This window comes from Homo sapiens, chromosome 22 (assembly GCF_000001405.40).
Source record: "Homo sapiens chromosome 22, GRCh38.p14 Primary Assembly".
Classification (NCBI taxonomy): Eukaryota; Metazoa; Chordata; class Mammalia; order Primates; family Hominidae; genus Homo; species Homo sapiens.
In genome coordinates this window covers 44,316,411-44,336,543 of record NC_000022.11, presented here as the reverse complement: position 1 = coordinate 44,336,543, position 20,133 = coordinate 44,316,411, and the positions used below count along the sequence as shown (strand labels likewise).

At 56.0% G+C, this 20,133-nt stretch overlaps 1 protein-coding gene across 1 annotated transcript in view, besides 2 other annotated features; it reads left to right on the top strand.

The window, feature by feature from the left end:
- Positions 1-4,829: 4,829 nt before the first annotated feature.
- The window catches only part of SHISAL1 (shisa like 1), an 88,050-nt gene continuing 72,746 nt past the window's right edge, over positions 4,830-20,133 (top strand). The window contains exon 1 of the mRNA XM_005261790.4: positions 4,830-5,049. The gene's annotated coding sequence lies outside the window, so the exon portion shown is untranslated. The remainder of the gene's footprint in view (positions 5,050-20,133) is intronic.
- Positions 18,732-19,231: an enhancer, noted in NCBI's record as "H3K4me1 hESC enhancer chr22:44713193-44713692 (GRCh37/hg19 assembly coordinates)". NCBI's record gives its function as "activates a minimal SCP1, AML or CMV promoter by ChIP-STARR-seq in naive H9 embryonic stem cells {active_cell/tissue: H9 hESC(naive)}" and the evidence as "EXISTENCE:reporter gene assay evidence [ECO:0000049][PMID:30033119]".
- Positions 19,232-19,733: an enhancer, noted in NCBI's record as "H3K4me1 hESC enhancer chr22:44712691-44713192 (GRCh37/hg19 assembly coordinates)". NCBI's record gives its function as "activates a minimal SCP1, AML or CMV promoter by ChIP-STARR-seq in naive H9 embryonic stem cells {active_cell/tissue: H9 hESC(naive)}" and the evidence as "EXISTENCE:reporter gene assay evidence [ECO:0000049][PMID:30033119]".

Here is a 20,133-nt window from a genome sequence, read left to right as displayed (position 1 = left end):
TTTGACATGGCTGGAGCTCCGGCACCTCACTGCAGAGGAGGCTGGGCAGGTGGGCTGGGCCACAGGCACAGGAAAAGGGGATGGAGTTTCATCCTGTAGGAGATGGAGTGACAGAGCCTTAACATTTGGGCCGTCACCAACCCGACAGTGAGCTTCTTTGGGGCAGGGACCTCTTCTGGTCTGTGGGTGTCCAGCACTACCTGGGACAGGCACAGAGCCCCACCCAGTGGCAGGTGAAGGGCGGAGGGAGGGAGGATGAGGGGGAGGGGCTCCACTAAATGATGACGCTTTCCACATGCCCTGAACACACCACACACACACACACATACACACACAGATACAAAGACACACACCACACAGACACACACACATCACACATACACACACAGACACAGACACACACAGCACACATACACACACCACACACAAACACTACACACACACCACACAGACACACAGAAACACACACCACACATACACAGATACACACACCGCACATACACACAGATATACAGACACACACCACACACACAGACACACACCACACACACACCATACATACACACACCACACACACAACGCATACACACAGAAACACACACCACACATACCATACACAGATACACCACACATACATACAGATACACAGACACAAACCACACATACACCACACTTACCACACATACACAGACACACATCACACATGCATGCACACACACACACCACCACACATACACGTGGAAACATGCACCGACACACTCACCATATGGAGATTCCAGACATGCGCACCCCAAAAAGGGAGATGCCTCATTCTACCACCCCCGCATGCCAACAGCCATCGCACACCCCAGCACACACAGCACACACCCCACTCATTCACACCATCCACTCACACCTCACACACACCATTCACTCACACCCTCACACACACTCACACACCACCACTCACATCTCACACAGACACAACCCACACCACTCACACCCTCACGCACACTCACATACACACTCACACACCCCCACCACACACACAAAACCACACACACCATTCACATCCTTACACACACATAGACACCACACACCACACACACTATTCACTCGCACCTCACACACATACATACACACTGGCACTCCCCACACCACACACACCCTCACACAAACCCACTCATATACACACACACGCCACATCCCCACACTACTTATACCCTCACATACAAACACACCACAGACCCCACATACAGCACACACACAGCACTCACACCTTCACACACATACACCACTCACACCCTCACACACACCCACTCATACACACACACACACCACATCCCCACACTGCTTACACCTTCACATACAAACACACCACAGGCCCCATACACAGCACTCACACCCTCACACACACACGCCACTCACACCCTCATACACCCCCCAAACACCACCACACACCATTCACTCACACCTTCACACACTCACACACACCACACACCCCACAAACCACCACACACCACTCAAACCCTCACACACATCACTCATACTCACACACACACAGCCTGAGACACACACATTGACACACATCACTCACATATACATATCACACTCGTATCTTCATATATACACACAACACACTCTGCTCACACTTTCATACACACACACATACACACACATTCACAAACACACCATACACAGCGCAGACCACACACCAACCATACCACATACACACAACGCACACATACAACACACACATTTATACTCATATACCACACATGACACACAACACACATAACATACATATATAACACACAACACACACTCTTATACACACGTACACACACAACACATACAACACACACACAGCACACACTTTCAACAGTCCTAGGTATACTCACAAACATACACATCTCACACATACCACACACACCACCACACACTATATATAACACACAGACACACCGTAAACATACATCACACACCTCATATACAGTACCACACAGACATATGACACACACAAGACACACACACCACTCACACACTCTCATATTCACACACATACCACACTCACAAAAAACACACAGCACTCACACACTCTCATATTCACACACATACCACACACACAAAACACACACCACTCATTCAGATTCTCTCATACACACATACATATTCACACATGTACCATACACCCCACACATTTAATACGCATACACAGAACACACATAGCACATGCACACACCAAACACCACATACAAATCACACATACAACACACACACACCACTCATACAACAAACACAACACACAACACACACATACACACACTATACACCACACACACAGACACCACACACACAACACACCCCATCCCAGCAACACAGGCGGCCTGCTGTGACACCCCTACACTTCCTCCCCTTGCTCAGCCCGCATCCCTCAACGCTGAGTGTCCCTGGCACTGAGAGCCTGAGACACGGTCCCTGCTAGGGCACAGATGACAGGCACCTCTCCAGCATAACAGCCAAAATCAGACGGGACAGTCTGGCAGGCACCTTCCAGCCCCGCCACCACCAGCACCGGGCACTTCTACCTGTTCCATGGCCTCTCTTGGCCTCAGTTTCCTCCGTCCCCCTCTTGGGATATTTGCCAGGCGCCAGGAGAAGTATCTCATGGGCCCAGTCTCATTTAGTCCTCGAGACACTCTATGCGGGAGGCAGTGCTGTGACCTCTTTAGGAAAGAGAACTGACGTTCAGGGAGCTTCTGTGCCGTGCCCAAGGCCACCTGGCCAATTAGGGACAAAGTGCCACCTTGCTACAAATCCCATGAGCCTTCCCACTGGGCAACACTGCCTGCCCCTGTGGCTGAGCAGGCACTGCCTCCCTGAACCCTCACTGTGACCCTGACCTCGCCCTGCTGGGGCATTCATGGGGTCCCTCTGCCCCTCCCATGAGCAGGGCCCACATCGGCTCCCTTGGAGGGAGATTGTGTCCTGCTTGGGCAGCTGCTCAAGCCAGGTCCACTGAAGACAGGAAGGGATGGACACCTGTGAGACAGGTGGGGAAACTGAGGCACTCCAACAGTGCAGGCTTCCTAGGGTGGGCGCCCCAGCACCATTCCCACTGTCCAGCTGGGTGCCTCGGGCATGAGGCTGAGCCTCCCTCTTATCTTTGAAAGGGGCCCAGGATGTGGCATCGGAAATGCCATCTGGATTCCCAGCCCCATCAGTGGGTCACGCGCAAGCTGTTGCCAGGCACCTCCCGCTGTCTTGGTTCCTCCTCAGTAAGGAGAGGGTGCAGCACTTGCCCTCGGTGCCTTCTCTTGATGTTTACTAAGGTACCTGTGAGGGGCCAAGGCTGGAGGACTGGGCCTGGACGTCAGGCAGACCTGGGCTTGAGCCCCGATTCTGCCCCTAGCTGGCTGTGTGGCTCAGAGCAGATGTCCTAACCTCTCTGAGTCCCAGCACCTCTGCTGTGAAGTGGGGAGGACGCTGCCCAGCACTGTGGTGAGGAACAAATAAAGCATAAAGAATACATCAAGTATAAAGGGCTCAGCCCAGTTTCTGGTGCGGTTCCATCAATGCTTAGAAAAATGAAATGAGGGCCACCATCTCAGGAGACCCAGGTGGGAGGATCTTGGGGCCAGTCCTCCAGGGGCTCCCTTCTCCCTCCTAAAATGCGGAATCGATAAAAGATCCTCATCTCCATTCTCTCTTGGGGCCCTCGAGGAGGCTGCAACCTTCTCCCCACGAGATCTCTTTACACCAGAGGTCTCCCGGCCAGGGACAGGGGAAGGTGGGGAAACGGGGGCTCACTGGCTTCGAGGCCACAGAAGGGCAAGCGCAGCCTTGTCCCGCAGGTGAGGGGCGAAATGGGGGGCAGACTGGAGCTGGGGGGCTGCCGGGTGGAGAGGGGAGAAGAAGCCGAAGAGGGGACCCCATGCAGTGGCCCAGGAGGGTCGGGAAGTGGGGCCTTTCCCACAGGAAACCCTGGCAGAGGAGCTTGTCTCATGTGAAGGGTTCTCGGCCCAAGCTGACCGTGACCCTGATCCTCCTGGCCAGGGTCTGGCTGGCAGGAATAACGTGGCTCCCAGACAAAGCAGGTGTATGTTCCATGGGGATGGGAGGACTGGGGAGTAGGAGACTGGGGTGGGAAGAGGAGAGGAAAAGGGAGTGGGGAGGAGGAGGAAGGAACAAAGGAGAGAGGAAGAACGCAGAGGAAGGAAGGAAGGAGGAAGGGAGGGAGGAAGGAAACGGGGCAGGAAAGCGGAAAGAGGGAAGGGAAAAGTAGAAGGAAGGAAAATGAGGAGGAAGGCGTGAAAGAACGGACGGAAAGGAAGTAAAAAGAGAGAAAGTGAGAAGCCACCGCAAACAGCAGGAGGGGAGAGAGAAAGAGCCAGAGGGGGAGAAAAGAGACCGCGAAAGAAAAAAAAAAAATGAGAGGAGGACGCAAGAGAGAGAGAGGGAGAGAGAGAGAGGAAGGGAGGAGAGAGGAAGGGAGAGAGAGGAGGGCGCAGGACGCGGCGGGCAGGGCGGCGGGAGCTCGGCGAGCCCGGGCGAGGGGGCAGCAGAGGGCGCGGCGCGGAGCGAGCGCCAAAGAGTGAAGTGGGCAGCGGCGGCGGCGGCGGCGGCGGCGGCGAGCGCGGGGCCCGGCGAGCATGAGCGCGGCGGCGGCGGCGGCGGGCGCGGCGCGGGGCTCGGGGCCGGCGGGCGGCCGGGCGGCGCGGGCCGCCGAGTAGCCGCGGGCGGCGACGGGGCATGCGGCCGGCCGCCGGACCCCCAGCCGGACCCCGAGCCGGACGCCGAGCCGGAGCTGCAGCCCCGGCCCCAGCCCCAGCCCCGGCCCCGGCCCCAGCTCCGCGCCGCGCCCGGCGCGCCTAGGAGCGGGCGCCTTCCGAGCGCCGATCAGGGAGCCCGGAGTCCCCGCGTCCCCGCAGCCCCCAGAACCCGGACAACTGTTGCGGCGGCGGCAGGGGCATCGCGGGGGCGTGGGCAGCCCCCGCACCCCAGCAGGCGGCTCCCGCGGGCGCCGGCTCCCGGCTACGAAGCGAGGAACGAGCGGGCGGCGGGCACGAGGTGAGCTGAGCCCCGGGGCGGGCAGGGCGGGGGCCGCGCGGGGGAGGGGCGCGCCTGGGCCGGGGTCCGAGAGCGGCGGGGAAAGGGGCCGGGGCGGAGCTCCTGGCGGAGGAGGGTCTGGGCGAGTGGGGGGCGGGGTCTGCGGCGCGGGGCTCCGGAGAAGGGGTGAAGGGTGGGCGCTTTGGGAGAGGCGGGTAAGGGGCATATGACGGGGGTCCGGGGCTCTTTAGAAAGGGGCTGGGGACGACCGGGGAAGGGTCCGGGGGCAGGAACCGTGCGGGACAGCCGGTGTTCGGCACTGGGGTCCGCGCCGGCGCTCACCAAGGTCGGGGTCGCTGAACCTTGGAGAGGAAGGGGCTGGGTTCCGAAGAGAGCAGTTCGGGGCGCACCGCGCCGGGACGCGGCGGCCGGGACCGGAATCCGCGTCCAAGGGGGGGACTGGCTTCCAAGAACAGAGTCGGGGAGCTCAGTGAGCTGGGAGCCCCGTGCGGGCTGCACGGGGACTGAGGGCCACGCTGCGGACCCAGAGGGGCCTGGGGGTCCCAGCTGGGCAGCGCAGGGGACGGGTAGAAGGACCCCTCCCAAGTGCGTGCCCCTGGGTCCTGGTCCGCCGCGCGGCCCCTGCGGAACCGCTGTCGCCTCCGGGGCCGAATCAACATTGATCCCGCGCCCGGGGCTGGGGTGGCCCGGCCCGGCGGCAGCCTCGGAAGCTCATTAGTGCCCGTGGTTGCCATGGCAACGAGACCCCAAGCGTCTCGAGGTTATATTTATTCTAATTATTATTATCATTATTAGTATTAGTATTTGTTACTCAGCCAGAGGAAAAAAAAACAGGGGGAAAAAGCCAGCGCGTCCTGGCGCCTGCAACTGTTACCTCTTTGGAAAGAGTCAAGAGGATGTGGGCAAACAAGGCCGGGTCCATGCCCCCTAGGGTCTCCCCCACTCTTGCTAGCTGCCCCAGCCTCACCCCTGGGGCCATCCGACAGGGAAGGGGAGTTATGTAATCTGCGGGAGAGCACCTCTGGGGATGCCTCTTTGTGTCTCCCCTACCTCTCTGGGCCTCCTGAGCCTGTTTTAAGTGATTGCACCTGTCACTTAAAGGCATCCCAGCCTAGGATGGGAAGAACACGAAGTGCCCCACACAGGGACTCTCTGGGGGTGGCCTCCAGCCCCCTCTCCACGGCTGTGTGACCTTGACCAAGGCTCCTGAGGCTTCCCAGCCCGTTTCCTCATCTGGAAGATAGAATGGCAGCCATGCCCACCACCAAAGGCTGCTGTGAGCTCACTCTGAGAAACCCCTGTCGGTTCCCACTGAGCATTGGTGGCTGTGTGACCCCAGGCAGCTGTCCACATGTCTCTGGACCTCAGTTTACTAGACTATAAAATGAGGGCCCTGCTCTGGGCATTGTCTAAAGTGTTTTCTGTCAGTAATGTCCTGTGAATCTCGCTGCTGGCTGGCTGTGCCTGAAATACCATCAAGTTCAGCTCTGTTCAGACCCAGACTGATGAGAAGTCCCTCCCTCCATCACCCTTTGTTTCCTCGCCTGGTTCTGATTGTCCAAACCTTGCTGGGAATCAGATGGTCCAGGGGTAACCATTGGGACTTTTCACCTACTGGTAGGCTTCAGCTTCGGTGAGAAGTGTCATTCAAAAGCAGAATTCAAATAACCTTCAGGTCCTGGTGTCAACCAGTACAATCTCCATGCCGGTCACGGTTGCCTAGAATTGGGGGGTCGCTCCCCATCCCCTGAATCTGTGACTGCTCAGTGCGGGACACTTCTCTGCAAGCACCTCGTCTCCCCAGAGAGGCTGTCTGCTGTGCCTGTTCTGGCAAGAGATGACCAGGAAGTTCTGCAACCAGGCAGCCCCGGCCCCTCTTGTGGCTGAAACTGAAAGCCCCAGGCAAGGGTTTCTGACAGTTTCTTTCTTTAATGTCATCTTCACGCTGCGTTCCTGGCACTGTCTCAGGCATCTGGGAGGTATGGACTGATGAAGAGGGGTGAGGGGAGCAGTTTGGCTTAGAGCCGCGCGTGTGTGTGTGTGTGTGTGTGTGTCCCATTCTCGCTCTCCTGAGCCACCCAGCCTGGAGCTTATCAGGGCAGGTGGACCAGATGAGAGGGGTAGGGGGCAGGGCCAGTGCTGCTCACTCAGACCTGTGAGTCAGTGAGTGACAAAGAAAGCGAGCGGGACCTGCCCAGAGTGAGACCAGCTGAGAGCCACTCCCAGTTACCGGTCATCCATCCATCCATCCCTTCACTCCCCTTCTTCAGCCAACTCCCCGAGCCCCCATGCCTGTGCTGAAGGGCCTCGGCTCACCCTTGGCACTCTCAAGGAAGCAGAGGAGGAAGTGACCCTGGACAAGCCAGCAGAGCTGGAGGCATCCCTAGGTCAGGTCATGAGGCAGTGGGGAGCTCCTGGGGGTGGGGAAGTGCACGTGCGGTAGGCACCTGTCCTTTGGAGCCTGGGAGAGGTTGGGGCCAGGGGAGCTTGGTCCAGAATGACAGGCGTGAATCAGCTAGAGGAAGGGGGAGATGTTCTGGGCAGGGACCCTCTGTGGGCAGAGATGCAGACACAGCAGGGCGGCTGAAGCCTTCTGGACCTGCGGGTCTGGGAGGTGGCTGCAGACCTGGAGGGCTGGGGGATGGAGCAGGGCCAGGGCAGGAGACAACACTACCCCCAGCTTGAGTGAGGGTTTGAATAGCAGGGTGGGGCAGGGAGGAGGGGAGGGTGGCCAGGTTCGGAGCTTAGACAGCTTCTGGGTGGGCTGCCCATGGTTGAGGTGGGCACAGGGAGAGGCAGTTTGGGCCAAGAAGGTGAATCTGATTTCCAGTTCCCTAGGACAATTGGCCAAGCCCTCTCCAGCCCCACCCCAAAGGCCACACTGCAAGAGGGTTGCCTCATGCCCAGGCCCTTGGCTTCTGGGGCGGGTTGGGGGGCGGTGGCATGTAGACAGCAGGTCTGGCCACTTCAGCTGTCTGTGTCCACAGTACAGGACTTCACCGAACAGGCTCACAATTGCACCCTCCACAGCACTAGGGTTGCACTTGGCAGTGACAGCCCGAAGGCCTGCCCCGAGCCAGGTACCATGCTGAGCACACTCGGAACCCAGCTTCCCACTTAATCCTCATGCCAATCTTGTCAGTGGCAACTGTGGATTCTGTTGTATAGATGAGAAAACTGGCCCAAAGAGGCTAATAATACATAACCCCACCAGGACCAGGCTCCCAACCACTACACTATACCACCTAGTGAGGGGTGGCAATATAGAGTTCCTAGGACACAGCACCAGGAACCATGAGGGGGCAGGGGCCCCGCAGTCTCACTTTCTAGTCATTATCCTGTTTACTTTCCAATATTACTGACCCAGAGCCTGGCCTGCCTTATGCTTAGATGAAAGCTATCCCCTCCCTTCTTAGGGATGCTTTGCCTCTATTAACCCAGTCTTGGCTGCTTTAGCTTCTCCCCAGTTGACTTGTACAACAGATTCACAGGATCTTAGAGCGAACTGAGAGCCCCTTCCCCAGCGCCCCCAAGAGAGGCTTTTCCCAGCCCAGCTGCTCTTTCAGAAGTTACTGAAACAATTGTCAACCCCTAAGAATAGTGGGGCCTTGTTTCCTAAACACTAAACAGGCAGAGTTCTGGACATCTGAGCCAGGATGAGTGAGGAGGGTGACCCGAGGCCCTGCCCACCCTGGTTATGCCCTCCTGGGGACACCAGGGGACACCCATTCCATAGGCGCTGGTCTCACTCTGCACAGGGCCTGGCAGGAGGGTGGCCCCATCTCTTCCTCCCTCCCTTTTTGCACCCCTTCCCTCCTTCCTGCCTTCCTCCAGGGTACACATTCCTTGACCCCTAAGCATGAACCCCCTAGGGAGGTGGAGGAGACTCCAAGGTCACTGAGACCCACCCCCGGGCAGCTTCCAGCCAACCTGTTTAACGATTGACTCTATGAATAAATCATTCTCTAGCTGGGGCTGTGGATGTCCCACTGGCCCTACTGATGTGCCTTCTGTCCCCCCACCCCAGTTATCATGAGCCCCTTCCTCCTTTTCCTCTTAGCTGTGGCCAGGTCAGAAATGTTCATCCTGACTTCCCCAGTCACGGGCCGTCCCCACTTCCCACAAGCCCAGGTTTTCTCGTTCAGCCCCTCAGGACACAGTGCCTCTGAAAGCGTCAGACCAGGCCCAGGCAGGGTCTCTGGTGTACGCGCACGTGTGTGTGTGTGTGTGTGTGTGTGTGTGTGTGTGTGTGTGCGCGCCCCCCACTCTCCACAGCCCTCAAGGGGGTGGGCAGGGTGGTAGACAGAGACAGTGCCAGCAGCAGGCCTGAGCCTCGTGTGCTGTGCTGTGATGGGGAGAGGCCCCAGGAACTGCTGGTGGAGGGGGCTGAAACCGATCTGCTTCCCCATATTCAGATGGGGACACTGAGGCCCAGAGAGGGCTGGGACCGTGTTCAAGGTCACACAGTGAACTGGGGATTCTTGAGGGCCAAGGATGTTCAAGCCTATATTGCAGACATGGTGGACATTGTCCAGAGGCCTTGAGGAGCTTTGGGGAGTCGGGGGTGTGGGGAGGAGTACAAACATTTCCTAGATGATGAAATTTACACTGAAGCCCACCGAGGCACTCCTTTTAGGAAAGGGCTTCAGAATCGCTCCCTGCCTAGCCATCCACAGAAGCAGAAGCTGAGATGAAATGTAAATGCCTCCAGTCCTATATTTTTCGACATCAACCTGAACAGGGCGTTTACATCGACAGCCCATACCCCCCAGCCTGCTCTCCTTCCCCTCCCATCTGGGGCACATACTCCAGTCACCACCCATCTGCCTGCACGCACACCTACCCCAACAGATGTGTGCAAACGGCTGCCTCCAGAAATTAAGAAATAATGCATGAGTTTCCCAAATTACACCCATTTAACACTGAATTAAGTTCTGGAAGCTCTTAACAGAGCCCTGGGAGGGAAAAAAAATTTTTTTTTGGTCACACTTCCCTGGAAAATGAGACAAACCGTGATCTTTGAAAACCCAGCTACATAATCTGATTATTCCTCCCTGGCAAGCCTCAGAGAGATGCCCAGCAGAGGGAGGGGATGGCCGGCTCTGCCGCGGAGGAGAGATTTGCATTGGGAAATTGGACTGGGAAAGTTTGTCTCCCGTGCCAGATTCCGAAGCTCCTCGTTGTCGCCTGATGGGCTCAAAATAAAGTGCCGTTTTCTTAGATATTGGCACAAATTAAAAATAAAGGCAAATTCCTTCCATAATCCAGCGCGAGAATTTCCTCTGAGGCTCCCGGAGCTTGTCACGGAAACGATGGTGATTTGCTTTCACTTTGGGTTCCTTTCCTTTGTCGGGAGAATTGTACGTGTGCAGCTGGATTTACAGACCGAAAGAAATGCATTTAGTGTTCATTCATTCCACATTTCTGGAGCGTCTACCAAGTTCTGGGGCGAGGAGGGGCGATTTGAAACAGGGTCCTTCCCTGGTGAGTTTTGCAGTGTGTTTGTTGGGGGAAGGGAAGGAGAACTAAAGAAAAGCCCCTGAGAGGGGTCAGGGAGGGCTTCCTGGTAGAAGTAAATTTCGGCTTGGGTCTTGATAGGTGTGTAGGAGCGTGCCAAGTAGAAGAAGGCAGAGGGGCATTTCGGGAAGAGGAGCAGCCTGAGGAAATTCTTGGTGTGGGTCTCACACGGATGTGGCTTCTCGTTATGAAGGTTCCTTTGTGACAACCTGGCTGGACATGTGGCTTTTTACAAAGCCCTTTCATATCCATTATTTTCCACTGCCCTTGGGTAGCCCAAGGCAGGCCAAGTTTCCCTAAAGGAGAGAGCTGAGCCCAGAGATGGGAAGCAAGGTGGCCAGAGTCGCAGCCAGGCGGGACTCTGAAACCCAAGGCCCTGGATCTCATGGGCTCTGTGCGGGTTGAGAGCAAATAGAATAAGTTATTCTATAGAAATTCTAAAACTTAAAGAACTACAGACATGAATTCCAAAGTCTAGAAAGGCCCCTTTCTCCCTCCACGGGAACCGAACTCCCTGGCTGCAAGAGGGGCTGGGCTTCAAGACCTGGGTCCCGGTGATGCCCATGCTGGGGCTGCCAGCTCTGAGCCTCGGTCTCTGCGTCCAGAAAATGTGCTGATGGAGCCTCTCTCTGCCCATTTGCAGGAAGCCTGGCATCATCCCAAGTCCCAGAAGGTCCAGGTTCAGCCTTCAGCTCAGTGAGAGTCCAGCAGGGTCTTTTTTTTTTTTTTTCTTTTGAGACGGAGTCTCTCTCTGTCACCCAGGCTGGAGTGCAGTTGCTCAATCTCAGCTCACTGCAACCTCCACCTCCTGGGTTCAAGCGATTCTCTTGCCTCAGCCTCCCTAGTAGCTGGGATTACAGGCGCCCACCACCATGCCCAGCTAATTTTTGTAGTTTTAGTAGAGACAGGGTTTCGCCACGTTGGCCAGGCTGATCTTGAACTCCTGACCTCAGATGATCCACCCACCTTGGCCTCCCAAAGTGCTGGGATTACAGGCATGAGCCACTGCACCCAGCCCTCCAGCAGGGCCTTTGCTGTTTAAATTGTTCAAGCTTCTGGGCGCTGGGCTGGAGTGTGGCAGTGTAGCATCAGCTGGGTGCAGCTGCCTGGAATCTGATCCCTAGGACAGAAAGGCCTTTGGAGAATGAGCCGTGCAGCTGAGATGAGCCCTATCCTCAGGACAACGGGCCAGAGGGAGGCTCCGGGTGCTGATCTCAGGCAGGCTGCCTCCTTCCCCAAGAGCAGCCTGGAATTCCCGAGGCTATGCTGGGATTTCACATAGACAAGTCTCCGCTGCTTGCTCCTCACTTTGTGACCTTGGGCAAGTTATATAACCCCTGGAGCCTCAGTTTCCTTACCTGCAAAATGGGTTATTGTGAGACCAGATAAAATAAATTCATACAAAGGGTTTAGTTAGCACAGTGTGCATTCAATGCCTTGTCCGCCTCTGTATTCTCACTTTGATACTGTTAACAACTTTGTGTTACTGTGTTGACATTGTTGCAGCCCTTCCATGAAGCAGCCAGGCAGGAACCAAATCTGCTCATCCCCAGACCCCTAGAGTAGGGACCACCAAGCCTGTGGTTGTTGAATGAATGAGGAAATGAATCAGGTGAGCAGTTAGACCAGTGGCGGTGTTTCTTACCCAGCACCATGGCAACTGCAGACCAGGCAGGGGGGAGCCAGCTTTGGAGCCTGGGTTCTGATCTAGCCCCATCTCTTACTAGTGACCAATGGGGGCTGCATATTTCCCTCTGAGCCTCAGCATCCTCATTTTCAACATAGGGCTAATAATGATGATAATAACCTGAGTGGCTTGTGAGGATTTGAGGCGGGGATTGTAACATTTGGGACAGCTGGGTCAGTTACATTGCTAACCATTATGTTTTACCCCTAAGCTCTAGAGAGACAGTAAGATTTCAAATCCCAGTCTCCACTCCTCCTGGCTGTGTGGCCTTGGACAAATTACAGCACCTCTCTGAGCCTGTTTCCTCATCTAAAAATTGGGATGATATCCACCTCTTCAGGAATTAAACGAGTTGCTCCAAGGAATGTGTTTGGTGCAGACGGGCATATAGTAAGTGCTCAGTAAATATAACTGGAATTATTATCACCACTGCTACATTTAAAAGCAGAAACACCAAGGAGGCACAGAAGCAGTGAAGGGTCAGAGAGCCTCTCTCTATCCTGGAAGGGTGGAGGCCGCCTTGTTCCTAGTTTAGCTTGATAGTATCAAGTCCAGGTTTGGCATGCTTTGGACAGGTTGCTGAGAATGAAGGGATGATAGATGGATGGATGGATGGATGGATGGATGGATGGATGGATGGATGGTGAGTGGGTGGATGGATGCATGGATGGATGAATGGGTGGATAGATGAATGAATGGGTGGGTGAGGTGGGTGGATGGATGGATGGTGGATGGATGGATGGATGAATGGGTGGGTGAGGTGGGTAGATGGATGGATGGATGGTTGATGGATGGATGCATGGATGGATGAATGAATGGATGGATGGATGAATGGATGGATGGATGGTTGATGGATGGATGCATGGATGGATGAATGAATGGATGGATGGATGAATGGGTGGATGGATGGATGGATGGATGGTGGATGGATGCATGGATGGATGAATGGGTGGATAGATGGATGAATGGGTGGATGGATGGATGGATGAATGGGTGGGTGAGGTGGATGGATGGATGGATGGATGGATGGTGGATGGATGAATGGATGGATGGATGGATAAATGGGTGGATGAATGGGTGGACAGATGGATGGTGGATGGATGCATGGATGGATGAATGGATGGATGGATGGATGAATGGGTGGATGGATGGATGGATGAACGGGTGGGTGAGGTGGGTAGATGGGTGGATGGATGGATGGATGGATGGGTGGATGGGTGGGTGAGGTGGGTGGATGGATGGATGGATGGATGGATGGATGGTGGATGGATGCATGGATGGATGAATGGGTGGATGGATGGATGAATGGGTGGGTGAGGTTGGTGGGTGGATGGATGGATGGATGGGTGGACGGACAGATGGATGGGTGGATGGACAAATGAATGAATTAGTGAATGAATGAAATTAAGATCAGGGCAGCCAAGGAAGAGGCTGAAGTTTGGGGGCAGAAGCTTCCCTTTGAGGACGAGAGCGACAAGGTGGGATGCGTTGTGTAGCTGGATGATCTCTCTCTTTGCTGCATGAATCTTTGTTGACTAGGGATGGTGGCCCAAGTCTGGGGGCCCAGGCTCCTTGGTTCCCTCACAGTTTGGTTCTGGAGCTGGACAGAGCCGAGTTCAGGCTGTGACTCCTCAGCTTCAGCATAGGCAAGTTCCCATGCCACTCTGAACCTCTGTTTCCCCCTCCATAATGTGGGGAGAGGACTGGCTTGCAAAGATAACACATTTGAAGGTGGTTTGCAACCTGTAAAGTCAAACTGAAAGTCAAGGGAGGTGTTTGGGCTCCATGCAGTGGGTGACAGGGAGCAGAGGTGGATTTGGAGTTGGCGGAGCTCATGAAACATCAGCCTGGGCACTCTCTGGTCCCCTCCTGAGGAGACCTGAGGCACACGGTCAGGGAAGGGGTAGAGGGGGCACCTGGGGCAGTGAGGCAGCACCTCCAACTCATGGGCAGAACCAGGCCCAGGGATGGGAGTGCTCTGCCCAAGGCCCTTGGAGCCCCAACCTGATGGGGAGACCCTCACCTGCTCACCGTAGCCCTATCCTGGGCACTTTGCCAACATCACCTTGTTTAATTCTCATAACTTTCTGTGAGAAGAGACAGGTTGCCATTCTCACTAGGAGCTCAGAGAGGCAAAGGGACTTCCCCAAGGGCACGCAGCCACTATGTTGCAAAGCCAGGATTTGGACCTGGTGGCTTCTGTTCTTTCTGCTGGGGAGGCTGAATACACTTTGTGGTCAGGAGGGGTGCTGGTGTGGGGCCTCAGGGTCACCACACTCCTGTGTCCACCCTTCACCACCATGTGGTTTTGCCCAGCCTCCTGCCTCCTGTCTGCCTCGGTTTCCTTCTCTGTAAAATGTGTTCACAGCAGGCCCTCCTGCAGGAGTCTGAACCCAGGAGGGACCATGCAGAGTGCTCCGAAGGGCCGGCCCTCTCCACTCCTTGGTTGTTCTTTGACTCCTCTTTGGGGAGGAGAGACACCTGGGGAAGGTGTGGGGCCTGCAGGAGCCACAGAGGAGCTGCGCTGGGGTTGGTCCCGCTTCCCTGCATCTTAACAACCAGGGGCTGGTTTCTGCTGCCTGCTGCTTCCTCAGAAGGGGGTGGGTGCCAGGCAGGCATGGGCCGGCCACTTGTCCGGTGCATGTCATGGGTTTATTCACTCCTGAGATAGTACCCAGGGCCCGTCCTCACAGGCTCACAGTCTGCAGGGACTCGTGAACACAGTCACCTGTTCTGGCTCCAGACTCTAGCCCTGTGTAAGATAATGCACAGGTGTGGGTGATGACAGAGGATGGGGAGCAATTCTGCCAGTAGGAAAGGGGCTGAGCATCAAGGGGACCCTCCCAGAGGAGGCAGCATCCAAGGAGGTGGAGTCTGAGATGACCAGGTTGACAAGCAAGGGGAGCGGGGATATTTGAGGCAGAGGGAACCATGCATCTAGAGCCTGGGAAATGGGTCTGGGAGACTTCTGGGAGCTCCGTATGGCTGTTCCGTGGCACTTGTGGAAAGCTGAGCAGAAGCTGAGGCTAAGCAGAAGCCAAGGCTGGAGGACTCTCGTCGCAGGTGGGTTAGTTACTGGATTGCTGGAGAGTTACTGGGTTTGGACATTACCCTGTGGACCTGGATGGCAACTGTGTGGCTGGAGCACTGCCACTCTCACTGCTGTGCCCGGGGCAGACATTGCTACCATTAGACATTGCTAATCCACCATCGTGGCTGGACCCTGGAGGCCTGCAGTCTCCCAGGCAGCCCCAGGCATGTCAGTGCCCGAGATGACACCTGTTTATTCCTGCTGCTGTGAATAATGGGGACGATGATGCCCCTTCCCAGTTGCTTGTGTCTTGACTCAGCCCAAAACCCAAAGCACTTTCCGTATGGAAGAAGATGGTGGGTTGTGGCTGGCCTCTGGTGAGACTCCACTGCCCCACAGTGCTGGCTAGTTCAGCTCTTCCTGCAAAAGCAAAGCCTTCCCCTCTAGGGACGAGCTGCTGCCAGGGCCTCCCTGGGCATGAGCACCACCTGGGAGTGCAGCCCTTCCTCCATCACCTGCAGGTCCACAGGCCAGGGGTCGAGCCCCGGACAGCCTGGACATCGGCTGGAGCTGGGCCAAAGAGGGGGTCACAGGGGGAGGGCGGCGGCCTGGCAGAATCTTAGGCAGAACTAGGAAAAGATCAGGAGACATCTCTCCTGAAATTCAAACAATTGGACAATCTGTTCTGGATCGATTTAGAAGCAGTGGAGTGGAAAAAAATTAGAAAATATAGTGTGAAAGCTATTTTCTCTCCCTCTCAGCTCACTTGGGCAGAGGGATGAGCTGGAGTTTATTTGCGGACTGTCCAAGGCCCTGGCCAGGGCCTCGCACCTCCTCCCTGCCCCCTGATCCACGGCCTGGCCCACTTATCCCCAATGCCTGCTGCCTTCTCCTCCATGCCCAGTTCTGGGCTGGCAATAGGGGGTCTCAGAGGGGCAGCATCCCTGTTGGTTCCAGGAACCAACAGTGTATAGGAACTCAGACATGGACATGGCTAAGATCGGACGTTTGTGTTCCAACAGGCACCCTGAGGGAGGTCCTTCTGTCCCTCTCTCCCACACTGCCAGACAAGGCCTCTCCATGCCAAGGTTAAGGTGTCTCTGCCTAGTTCACTCCTATACCCCCAGGGTTCAGGCCATAGAATCAGGGCTGGCACATAGTAGGTGCTCAGTAAAAGTTTCTTGCCTGAATGATGGAAGGAAGAAAGGGACGGGGGAAGGAAGGAAGGAAACTGAGGCTTTAAATGAAGTGACCCATTCACAGTCACATGGTCTGTTAGAGATGGAGGTGGGATTGGAATCAGATCCATCACCCTCGAGACCTGATTTCCACCCACCCCGCCGCCCATCCCTGGGGCCAGGAGCTAGGTCTGAGACATTTAGGGGCCTCCCACACTGACGACCCCTTTCTTTCCCCGGCACAGTGCATCCCACTCCTCCTAACACAACTCCTACATTTAATCTTTCACGACTTGAGCCAAATGCTGATTGTTTTAAAATAAGCATGTTTAGTGTGAGGCCAGACCGGAGTGGTGGGAAGGGCAGGAGAGCCGAAAGCCAGAGCCTTCCTTCCACATGGTCTGAATTGTCCCCGAAGGGAGCAGTTCCCTCTCCGCTGTGGTGTGGGGAGTTTCTGCGGCTGGAGGATTTCACCCAGGGGCGGGGTCTGCCGGGACATCGTGAGTGTGGGGACATCTGGCACTGGTGGGAAATGGGACCAGTGGATCCCAGAATGGTCTCTTGTGTTTTTCACCTGTCACTGGGAGAGGGAGCTGTTCCCAGTAATGGGGAAGTGGTTTCATTTCAGGGAGTGGCAGCTCCCTCCTCTTTCCCCTTCATCCCCAAGGGCCAAGGCCAAGAGCCTGAGTCCTAGAAAGAACTTTGACTTGGAAACCCAACCAGCTCGGGTCCAAGTCCCAGAAGCTCAGCAGCTGTGTGATCTTCGGCAGGCAACACAATCTCTCCGAGGCTGTGTTCTCATCTGCAGACTTGGGCAGTAGCCCCTCCTTTTGGGAACATTGGAGGGGATGATACTTGTGAAACACCCAGGATAGTGCTGAACACATCGGAGGTGCTCAAGGAATGGCCTTTTCCTCCTGTCTCCACCGCGTGCGAGGCCAGGGCTTATACAGTTCCACTCTTACTTTGGTTCTGCCTCCGTGGCCTGGAGTCTTCACGGGCTACTGTCCTGGGCAGGTTCCCTGGCTGACAATGAGAGGCGAAGCCATGGTACAACGGGACCCTTTGAGCCCCAAGTGTCTGAGCCTCCATCCTTAGCCACGCTGGGGACTTGTGGGTGGTGCCAGCTGTGGCCAGCGCCGCATCCTGGAGGGAGCCCCATGCTGGGAAGTGAGAGATCTGGGTGCCAGTCCCAAGTCTGCCACATATGAGCTGTGTGACCCTCTGGGAGTGACAGCCTCTCTGGGGCTCTGTGTCCTCACCCGAGGGTCATGAACAGCCCTTACTCACTTCTCAGGGTCACTGTGCTACTCACCTAAAAGAACCTGTGTGACAGCACTGAGCAGGCCGCGAGCCTCCGGAGAGGATGAGAGGGAAAAAGGCAGCCCTGGTGACTGACCCCTCCTAACCACCTAGCGTGGGCTCTGAGTTTCACATACATCATCTCATTTAATCCTCACACCACCGAAGTAAAACTGGGGTTAGCAGCCTGCTTCAGAGGTAAGGGTCCAGAGAGGCTAAGTCACATGTCCAGGATCACAGGGCCAGCTGGGTTCCCTCCCCCAGGCCAGCCTGCACGTCCTGTCCTCTCTCTAGCTATGGCTGTGGCCAGCCTCCGCCAGGCCTGGGCCCAGCACCCGCTTCCCCCTGGCATTCTGCACTTGCCATCCCAGTCCCGATTGCTTTCCTGCTGACAAAGCACTTTCATAAATACTTTTTGATGTTACCTCTCCATTCCCCAGAAATTTGTGAGCCAACACTCCCCCAAAGCAACAGCACACTAATTAGACTTCCATAATACCATTTACCCAGATGTCGACCGATGCTACGCAGTTTAGCAGTTTTCTCCCCGTTATAAGGGATGTTCCTTTTTGGAAAGCAGGAGGCCTTCTCTTGAAGCCTGGTGCATGGCATCGGGCCTGCAGAGAGGACTCTCGGGATAGAGGCTTGTCTGCCCTGGACTTCCCCGCCCCCACGGTGGGCTCCTGGATGGGCTGGACTGGGTCGGGGGGCAGCCAGCCTGAATGTGGGGCCTTCCCCTGGAGGGGCTTCTCTCTGCCCCTCGGTCCCTGCTCCCTCTCAGGCCCCTTGGTGTCAGGAGGCTGCAGTGGCAGAGCCCAGCTCGGGAAGGTCAGAGGGCCCCGTGCTCAGCAGACAGGGCAGACATGTTCATTAGCCATCCTGTTGCTTCCAAAGTGCAAACTCAGTATCAGAACAGATCTCTAGTTTGGGGACGACTAAGCAGAGAAGGATTCAACAGAAAGTGGAGCCTGGTGCTTGCTATGCTGCGGGGGAGGACGGAGAGGACTTGGGGAGTCTGTGTCTGAAGCGGACACAGTTCTGGGTTCTAAGTCTGGTGTCAGGGGGTCTGCCCTCCTTGCCTTCCCCAACAATGCACCATCCAGTGGTTTATTCTTCCTGGGGGTTCGGCCCCCATGGGAACAGCCCACAGAGCAAGGCAGCAAACCTGAGACCAGAGACCACAGGGCCAGGGCAGCTGAGAAGTCCACCTGGCGGCACAGCAGGTTTGGGGTGTTGGGGCCACAGGCATGGAGGCAGATGAGGTGGGAGGAGGCTGTTGTCTGTTCACATCTGGGCCTAGGAAAGCTGATGGGGCCAGCAAGGGTTTGCAAGGGCTCAAGAAGGCAGCCGAGAGCCACTTCCTACCACCTTTGAAAGCACCTGTTTCCCTCGCTGTCCAGCCATTGCCGCCAGGGAGTCCTCCTGGGCGCGGACCGCCCCGAGTAAGGACAGGCCTGGCTTGCTGCGGGCCGGTGTGGCTGGCCGGGCCCTGCTCGTCGGTGCAGCAGCTGATCCATTCGAGAGGCACGTCCTTCCATCCTGGCCCGGCTCTCGGAGCTGAATCGCACCCGCCCAGCAGCTTCCATGCCAATTACACAGAGTGTGGGTGGGAGGCTCATTAACCCCCAGAAGTGGAACTGGTCCAGGGAGTGGTGAGGATGGACAGGGGCCCTCCAGCCGACGATGGGGGGTTAAGCGTGCCAGGTCAGGGGTTGGGGAGCTGGCTCAGCACCATCCCTGTGGTCTCCACTGCAGCTCTATTTGCATAATTTTGAAGTTGATTGGCCTAAAGGCAACTTCGCTTAATCACAGCTGACAAGTCTCTGGTTGAAACAGCAGCTGCTGCCAATTAGCCGCGTTGGTGCTTTGGTTTGTTATAACTCTCTAGGCAGCAACCCCCAGCTCCCCCTCCTGCCCGCCCCATAATCTGCTTCAGAAGGAAGTGGCAGGGCCAGGTAGCTGCCCAGAGAACCTGCCACATGCTCCAGCCCAGGTCTTCTCAGACTTGCAGGTGCTGGGGAATGGGTTAGCGCGCAGCCTCTGATTCAGCCGGAAGGGTGGCGCGAGAGCCTGCATTTCCAACAGCTCCCGGGAGATGCCAGGGTTGCTGGTTTGTGGGCTGTGCTTGGGGTAGCAATGATCTCACCCAGAAGTTTGCAAACTGGGGCTGCCTGTTTGTGTGAATAAAGTTTTATTGGAACACACCATCACTCATTCATGTAGGATTCTCTACAGCTCTTTTTTGTCTATAACTGCAGAGTGGACAAAGACTGGGTGGCTTGCAAAGCTGGCCCAGCAGCTCTTCCTTGAGTGGGCATCAGAACACCCTGGAAAGCTGGGAGAGATGCAAATCCTTTGCCCCCCCACCC